Source organism: Homo sapiens, chromosome 5 (assembly GCF_000001405.40).
Source record: "Homo sapiens chromosome 5, GRCh38.p14 Primary Assembly".
NCBI lineage: Eukaryota > Metazoa > Chordata > Mammalia > Primates > Hominidae > Homo > Homo sapiens.
Window position 1 is genome coordinate 83042165 of NC_000005.10, and position 9641 is coordinate 83051805.

Consider the following 9641-nt stretch of genomic DNA (forward strand, 5'->3'; position numbering starts at 1 on the left):
GATGTTTCATGGCCTCTGTATTTAATAGTTCATTTACATTGAACTGCTAGGAATATGGAAGCTGTATTAGATGTTCCTTAGGGACTGGGTGAAGTTAATGGTAGATGCTCTCTTGAAAGAGTCCCCTGGAACCTGTTTCTTATCTGGAGAAGTGAGTATAACAAATGTTCATCAATAGCAATAGGAACAGCTTCTTATTTACAAATTTGAGCCCTCTTATGAGTCCCTTTCGCCGTAACAGTATTAATAAAATAACTGGCCCATCTCTAAGCCTTGCAGGGTTTTCCAGTGAATGACCCTAGAACTGTCTCCAGCAACAATCTAGATGGACCTTGCCCTGGTTGGAGGGGTGGGGGCCGTGTCTGAATTCAACTTCTCATAGGAACTTGAATCCCCAAAATCACCAGGTGCTGAGAGGCTTGTATCTTCTATCACTGCCCCCAACTAACTGACTTATTTTGCTTGGCAGCTGAATGTAAAACATTCATTCCCCCAACCAAAGGTGCTTTCACACCTGACCTGTAAAAAGGAGGAGGAAGCAGTGCAAGGTCCCTTTCCTGGAGCACAGCTGTGTACCGGCCCAACCATGCCTTTCTGAAAGGTGTGGTGCAACTGGTTACCCATGAACCAGCTCACCGCTTGGCTCCACATTCTCATCCTCAGCAAACTTGTGTTAACTCTGGATTCTTTGCCCAACACATACTTATGCCTGAAGTCACATTTAGAAAGGTTACAGAAATCAAGAGACTAGAGGTAGAATTAAATGAGATTTGCCTGCATTTTTGTTTTTGTTCTCAGAGAGGAGTACAAGTAATAATTGTTAAAGGGCCAAGGTCTCCCTGTGTTGCCCAGGCTCGTCTCAAACCATCCCATGGCCTTGGCCTCCTCAAGTGCTGGGATTACAAGTGTGAGCCACTGTGCCTAGTCCTAACATTCTTAAGAGGCAAAAAGGTGGTGTTTGGCAGAAGACTTACATGATGTGTTTTCGAGGGAGTTTAATTGTTGCTCTTAGGTTACGTGTATGCAGGGGATTGAACATCTTTATGAATAAGAGTGTTCCTTTCTTTCCATTTCACATATATTTGCTTCCAGTAAGCCCGGAGTACAAAGACAAGAGATCAATAGAATATTGATTCAAGGTTCTGTGTGGATTCAGGGCAAAGGTCTTGCAAGTATGATTCTCCGTTTTTTTTTTTTTTTTTTTTTTTTCTTGTTGTTGTTATTGTTGCTCTTTGAGACAGGGCCTTTCTCTGTCACCCAGGCTGGAGTGCAGTGGTGCAATCATTGTAACCTCAAACTCCTGGGCTCAAGCAATCCTCCTGCCTGAGCCTCTGGAGTAGCTAAGACTACAGGCATGTGCCACCACGCCCAGCTAATTTTTTTTTCTTTTCTTTTCTTTTTTTTTTTTTTTGTAGAAATTAGGTCTTGCTATGTTACTCAGGTTAGTCCTGAACTCATGGCCTCAAGTAATTCTCCTGCTTTGGCCTTCCATAGTGTTGGGATTACAGGTGGCAGCCGTTGCACCTGGCCACAAGTATGATTATCTCATTGTCATTTCTCTGCAGAGAATGTTTTCTCCTCTTTTCCTACTATGCAATCCAAGTCTCCAAATCCCTACTTTGATTTAACTTCCACTTTTCAGTTACGACACTTCTTTACCATCTACCTGAACACCACTGAAGAGAGAGTAAAAACATAATAATTAGCCACTTAGGATGCAAATTTGTTACTTTGATGGCTGCTCAGCATTTAAACTCTTTTGCTATATGAGGACTCTGTCATTGTGTGAATCTTGGTGGAGGATAAGGGCTTTCTTCTCTACAAAAATAGGACCAAATAACTTGCACTACTTATCCCTTGACAGCTAGGGCACTATCATAAGATTTGAACTTGACCAATAAGAATTATCACTGGAGGCTGGGTGCGGTGGCTCATGCCTGTAATCCCAGCACTTTGGAAGGCCAAGGCCGGTGGATCACTTGAGGCCAAGAGTTCGAGACCAGCCTGGCCAACATGGTGAAACCCCGTCTCTACTAAAAATACAAAAATTAGCCGGGCCTAGTGGCAGGCGCCTGTAATCCCAGCTACTAGGGAGGCTGAGGCAGGATAATTGCTTGAACCCAGGAGGTGGAGGCTGCAGTGAGCCAAAATCGTACCACTGCACTCCAACCTGGGTGACAGAGTGAGACTCCATCTAAAAAAAAAAGAATTGTCAATGAAATAAATTAAAATATTAGTCCCAATTCTTTACCCTATCCTGTGCCCACGACTTTTGCTATTGACTTCACAGCTCTTTTCAGTGTTTTTCACTGCCCTTTGACTGGATTTGCCATACGACTTGCTTTTGCCAACAGAATGTCCGCAGATGTGATGTTGCAGAGGTGTGAAATGTACTTACACAATCTGGCTTGCCATCTAGAACTTCTGCCATCACAATGAGAAGAAATGTCAGGCAACTCACTGATCTAATAAGAATGAGAGACAGGAGTTGAGATTGAACTCACCTGAAGTCCAGAGCCAAGCACAGCCAAGCACAGCTTAGAGATCAGCTAATCCCTACCTCACCCACAGACAAATGGGCAAAAATAAATTGTGGTTTTAAGCCATTGAATTTTGGAGTGGTTTTGTTATATAGCACTAATGTGGAAACAGTTGACTGATCCACTCCATCTTGGAAATTTGAATCTGCAGCCCTTGATGCAGAGAAACAGAGATGATGCAGAATTTATTTCATCCACAGTGGTACCACATTTGGGGACAAGTGTGGAATCCAAGTGACAAGATCCAGTGTTCAATACCTTGGCTGAGGTTTCAGCTACCCAGTTTTCTTATGTTCTGATTTTCTTCCCTGGTTTGCTGGCCTTCTGGGTTATTTTATAACTGACAGCCTTCCAATAAACTTATTTCCTGCTTAATTTTACTGGGCCAGTATCTGTTATTTGCAGATAAGAGCCCTGTCTGAGTCAGCCCTTATATTTCATGGGAAATACAGGATTGAGAAAAGCAGAGTGAAACTGGGCAATCGTGGAGAAAGTAGGGACATTAGTCCATGAGTCCACAGTTCTGGGGACAGGGTGTAGAGGATAATTTCTCTATACTATAGGCAGAATTTTCATTTTATGCCTCAGAGAACTTTCAACGGTTGCTATGTTCACACAAAGCATGTAAGTAATGAGGTAGGTGAGTAGGTTCCAATTCAAAAGGAGTGATCAAAGTTTTATTTTTTATTTATTTTTTAACCAGTAAACTATGGTCACCAAGAATCTGCAAACTAATAAATTGTGCCTCACTGAGACTTCTATTCATTAATTTTTGATACTTAGACCGCTTTCTGATATGCTAAGAACTCCTAATGAGGAAACGTAGAATAAATCATCAGGTAGGAAAAATATTTCAATGGAGAAACATAACCCTCATATAATATGCTTCTTTACCATGTCATTCATTAACCTGGATTCAGTAATTAACAGGATTACATAAAAAACATTTAAATGTCCAAAGCCATATTTAACTACTATAAAATCATTCATGTACAGATTTTCTTACTGAGTTGTCAAGAGAAGTATAAACATTTTTTACTAGTTGTTTTTTGTCTGGCTCTTGAATATTCTTCAGGCTTTCATGAGCCTCAAAGTGTACATAACTGAGTGGTGTAATAAATGCCAGATTCTCCAGGATTGTATGTGAAGTGAATGTAGATATGTTTGCCATTATTGTCCTAAACCAGAAAATCGGGGAAAAGTATAAAGTTGGTATCTTTGTGGCACGTAATCTCAGATAGATGTATTTTATTTTAAGATAGATGAGAATTGAACTTCTTCACTCAAAAAATAAACTAATTTACTTAGCCTTAATTTTATATTTAACACAAGGCATTTGTTTCTGGAAATTGGATCACACTGTTGTATATGTAGGACTTTCATTGACTAGTATATACGCTTTAAGTTTATTATCTTTTGCCTTTACACAAAACCCTTGGCAGACTATTCTTAATGCATGTATTTAGGAGATAGCTGAGTCTGTTTCTTGTCAGTTCTAAATTTAAATGATTTACTTTTCTTGATGGTTGAAAATGCTTGAAGTCAGGGCAATGGAGGTAAATACAGTCCATTTGTGCTTCTTCAAAGCATTAAGAATTTACATAATAGATGAAAGTTTACTAAATACTGTGCACATTCTGGGTTTCCAAAGGCAAATAAGAATTGACCACCCTTTAATACTTTTAATTCCTATGAAACGTCTAGTGTGAGAAAGTAGGAGAGCGGGAGGAAAAAAGGGAGACAAAGATACAGATTCAGAGAGAAAATGACAAAGACTTTTCATTTTTCACGGGAATGAAACAAAGAGAAAATAAGCATTAAAACAAGGTGTAATAAGGGTCTGATGGTCTGAAAGTATCAAGCATAAATTTAAAAAGTATGTCATGAAATTCAAATGTATATACTTGGTATTTACCTTATCACATTTTTTTAACCATAAAAATATAGATTTTAAAAAATAAAAGGAAAGAAAACTCACTGTTATTCCCACCTCCTAGAGAAAATTATTATGTTGGTATTTTTTATAATTCTTTTCTTATAAATGTGTGTGTGTGTGCATGCACCCATGCATAAAATATTTTGTAACATAATTTCTTTTCTTTCTTTTTCTTGTTTCTTAAAATTTAAGATGGAGCCTCACTCTGTCACCCAGGCTGGAGTGCAGTGGCGTGATCTCAGCTCACTGCAACCTCCACCTCCTGGGTTCAAACGATTCTCCTGCCTCAGCCTACTGAGTAGCTGGGATTATAGGCACACGCAATCACATCCAGCTAATTTTTGTATTTTTTAGTAGAGACAGGGTTTCACCATGTTGGCCAGGCTGGTCTCAAACTCCTGATCTCAAGTGGTCCATCCCCCTTGGCCTTCCAAAGTGCTGGGATTACAGGCATGAGCCACCGTGCCTAGCCTGTAACATGATTTCATCACTAAATATATTGTGTCTATCCTTTCATGTTGAAAGTTTTACTTCAATATACATTTAATAGCCATGTAAATATTCCATTTTGTATAATAAAAAAATTATTTCAAAATGTTCTATAAATCAATCTCCTACAACTTCCATTATTAAAATGGAACTATAGCCCTACTGCACCCTGAATGAGTGAAAAATTGGAAGACTGTAAAATAGATGGCCACATGCCCTTCAGGCTCTCGCATCCAGGAGTGCTTTGCTCAGTCTGAATGTTCTGTGGTATGCCCACAGCCTCATCGAACTTTTCAAAGCTCCTGTCTATTACTTTATCACTTACCAGATCCTAATTTCTTTTCTCAGCCTGGGGAGCATCAGTTTCTATACTGAGAGCATTGAAATTATCGTTGCACTTCTCCAGTTTGCCCAGTGTCCTGCAGTGTTTAATAGAATTAGATTTAAATATGATACTTCAGCAGATGATTCCCACATCTAATGCACCTCATTCTAATGTACTTCATCTGAAGATTCATGGTAGGAGGAGGGAGTTATTTAAAATGAAATATGCTCTACCACACTAAAAATTTATGAAACATAAATGGTAAGCTTTTTAAAGGTGTAATTTCAGGTTACAGGTAGGTTGGAGTGGAGATATATTTCCAAATCACATTGAAATAATGAGAAGTAAGAAGCAAACCCTTCTGCCTATATATACTTACCCTGAACAAAAGATCTGTTCGTGTAGATCTAAATAGAAACTTAGGATACCATGCCCATTTAAGTACATGTGATATAAATTAATCTTAACAAGACATCAATGTGATTTGTGCCATGTTGTCCTTTTAAATATATCACTTCCCAAGTGGAAACAATTTAAGTGTCCAATAACAGGGGACAGGTTAAATACATTTTATTGTATTCTATGGTGGGATATTCCCCAATTATTTAAAAATCGTATAATAGCAAAAATCTGTAACTTGTGAAAAGACATTCACAAAAGGGGGAGAAAAGAAGGCTACAAAATAGCATGAACTATTCTATCCCATAAAAAATATTTTTATCTGTACATGGACATCTTTATATGATCCATTATAGTGGTTATTTTGGACTGGTAAGATTACTGGAAGCCTTTTTTTTTTCTTTGTGTATTTGCATTTTCTGAATTTTCTACAATTTAGTTTTGTAAGGGAAAAAATTTAAATTACTTTCAGGTATGAGACTAATGGTGTCATGGAAGTTTGTCTTCCATGTGATTCTGTAGGGGGCTTATTGAACCATCTCTCAAGCACAGGGCTTGTAATTCAAAGGAAAATAAGAAGCTTCTCCTGCTTAGTGACTCATACTGTGCTAGGATGATCACAGTTAGGAGCTGCTACATGAGTGTGTTGCCTTGGATCACAGCAAGTAAAAACACGGAGGGCAGAATAGGGGCAAATAATAAGCAATGAAAGGCCTAGAAGTAATTTTCTTTCTATTTTTTTCTCCTTATCTTATTTCAAGTTGATGTGGATATTTCCCTTGGCATAGTGTAGACAATGGACGAGTTGGTTTTGCCGGTATTCATAGGAAACAAGGTTGATCTAAGAATTACATAAAGAAAAGAGTAACAAGTACATGTTCCATGAATGTTTCCTAGCGAAGTAACCACTGTTATAATCACAGAATGTCTCCTGTAACTCTTCAAAAAGCCCAAAATGAGCCCTGGCGTAATTTCTAGGAAGGTAAATTCCTGGATACATTTCACAAATGTAGAACTTCCAGCTACAATGGGATTTCCAAGATCATGGCTGGAAAAAACCAAATGTGTCTTCATTCTTTAAGAGTTCTTTGTCTATGTTTAAGCAACTGCTGAGGACCAGTGAAGAACAACTTGTACTGCCAATACAGGACAGTCATTGGTGTTCACAGCTGGGAAGGCTTTTGAAGGTCTTCTAACCCAAACCTGAGGGAGATGACACTTGCCCCTAAGTTCTGTATCTCCCGTAAGGATTGCAGCTCCCTCCCACTACTTTCCCATCATGTAAATGGAAAAGGAGAACTGCACAGTTGCTTAGGCTGAAGTTTTATCCCTCACTCCTATTTTCTCATAATGCCTTTTGGCATTTGTGCTATAACTGCGACTATAGCGACTTCAGTGAAATGAAGATGTGGTAGTAGGAATTGCAACATGAGCTTTGACTAGACTATGTGGACAAGAATACGAAATAGCATGGACTCAGTGATATTTGTCCCCTTTAAAATAAAACATAACAATTGAGAGCTTAGTTTTAAAACTCAACATGTTTATTTTCTGAAACCCGCTTTATCTAGACTTCCATGACTAATTAAAAGATGACAAATTTGGATGGAGCAGAAAAGGTCCCTATGGAATAGATTAGGGAGTGTTAATATACTTAAGTAGAAAGAAAACTTCTGTAGAATTAGTGATACATGACTCAGATAACTGTCAGGTTCTGTAAAGTTTGCTGCTCACACATAACAACATAGCTCACCCGTACCTTCAATGCACTTATTTCCTTCTAACTCCATTGGGTGTGATACTAAGACTGTCCAAGATCATCTATCATTTTGTTGGACTTCTTCACAGCCCCTCTGTTTCCTGGCTGAGTTATTTATGTAACATTATTCCACATGGGAAAGCCCAGCTGTTAAAGTTTTAGAATCAGGAATAAGAACACATTTTTATTAGATCCTTCATCTTGTCTACAGTGGGTTTTCTTGGTTTAAATAATGATAGCAGCATACTAGCTCCTCGTTATAACTCACTCCCCTGTATGTGCTTTTGGAGAGGAAAATGGCCTTTTCCTTCTTTTGGGGTTCCAGAAGGGGGGCTTATATCAAACTAAATATGAAATCAATGTGTGGGATTGTATAATCACCTGTTGAGTTTGAACTCATCCACCTGGGGTGGGCACTGCAGAGGTAAAAATGATAGAACTGTTATAGATTGGTGGTAGCATGAGAGGTATATGAGAAAGGAAAAGGGGGAGTTAACAAGATTAGAAAATTTTAAGCATAGAAGGAAAGTGGCACTGTTAAAAAACAAAATAGGGTGACCCAGAAGGAGAAGCAGGTTTTGAAGAATTCTGTTTGGGATATATTGAGTTGCTGGCAGGAAATCCAGGTTGAAGGGTCTTAGAGAGCATGATGACTTTGTAATGTGTCAACTTGGTTAGGCTGCTCATTTCCTAGGACTGCCTTCCTTGTAAACTTCTGGTTAGTGTGGACCACAGGAGGGAGTCTTGGGTGAAATTTGTTCAACAGAGGTAAAGCAGTAGTAATTTTGTAGCTCAACTGTGATGTCACAGATGTGCAGATTAACGTTGTTACTGTGAGGCAGCAGGTGGGCCTATAACTACTCTATCTTCCCCTGGATTATCCTTCAGCCTCTCTGACTTCTTGGCCACATATAGCTTCAAGAAGGGCACTGGCTTCTTTCTGCAAGACATCCACAGTACCAAGGTCAATGACAAGAACTGACACAGCTTCTACCCTTCCCTTCCCTTCCCTGTGGATTTCAGGTCCAACATTAGAAACAAAGACAATAGTCTTACAGAGACTACTCTATTAGCTCCTTTAATTATGTAAGGTCAAATCCTTTGGATGAGTTGGCCAGCCTTCTCTATGGCTCAAAGCCCTGCATGATTTGGCTTATTTTTTCTTTCCAACTTACTCCATTCTTTGCCTCACTCAGTATTAGTAACATTAAATAGCATTCTTCATGCTAGTTTTCTATGAATTTCTCCACCCCTTCAAGTCCCAAGCTCTTTCCTGTCTCTGCCACTTTGTTCATGCTCTTCATCTGCAGTAGATCTTAGCCTAACCATCAACTTCATGGACTGGCATTCCCTTACCACGCCATCTAAACCGTCCTTCAGGTGTTACCTTCAGGGTTCTAGAGGTTGTGTATGCTTATCTAATTAGCTATTTGGTTAGTTGATCTTTACTAGACTCTAGGTTCCATGACAGCAACAGCTGTATTTGTCTTATTCCACATTGTATATCCTGTCCTAGCACTGTCTGGCACACAGCCTGTTCTCAAAGGATTCATGTAGGGATGAAATGGGAGATATGGAGGACTCTACTTTGTGGGTTTGGAATGATAGAGGGATTAATTTTCTATTCTTTGGCGGTGGGGAGGGAGGCAAGGATTATCCTGCATTCTAGCCCAATTTCTGTTCTTCTTGGCAGGTCAAACTAAGTGCCTAGGGATTCGCTAAGTTGTCTACATCGAATTTGTTACATGTTAAAAGAGTCAATAAAGCTTCTTTGAAGATGCTGGTCATCTTCAGAAACACTTTTTAAAAAGCAAGCAAACTATTTCTATCAAATAAAATCAAGATAAATATGATCTTCTATTCTTTCAGAATCCAAAAGAATGTTGTATTCTATTCTCTGTAACTTAATTTCCAAGGTCAAATCTTTTGGTATTATCCTGAGCCTCCAGATCCCTTTTAACACTTCATTACTGCAAAGATTCTTTGATGCTGGCCTTCTTGAAATCCCTCATGTCTATTTTCTTACTTCTTTTTATTTTTTTTCCAGTATTTAGCCTAGCTATAGAAATAAAAAAAGTTGAGGTGGCTGATAAATTACAGGTTTTAGCACTTTGGGAACAAATGCTACATCCCTACACATTTGCTTTTAGGCTACTTCCCTTGTCAAAGCTCAAACAGTAGTGTCTGGGTATC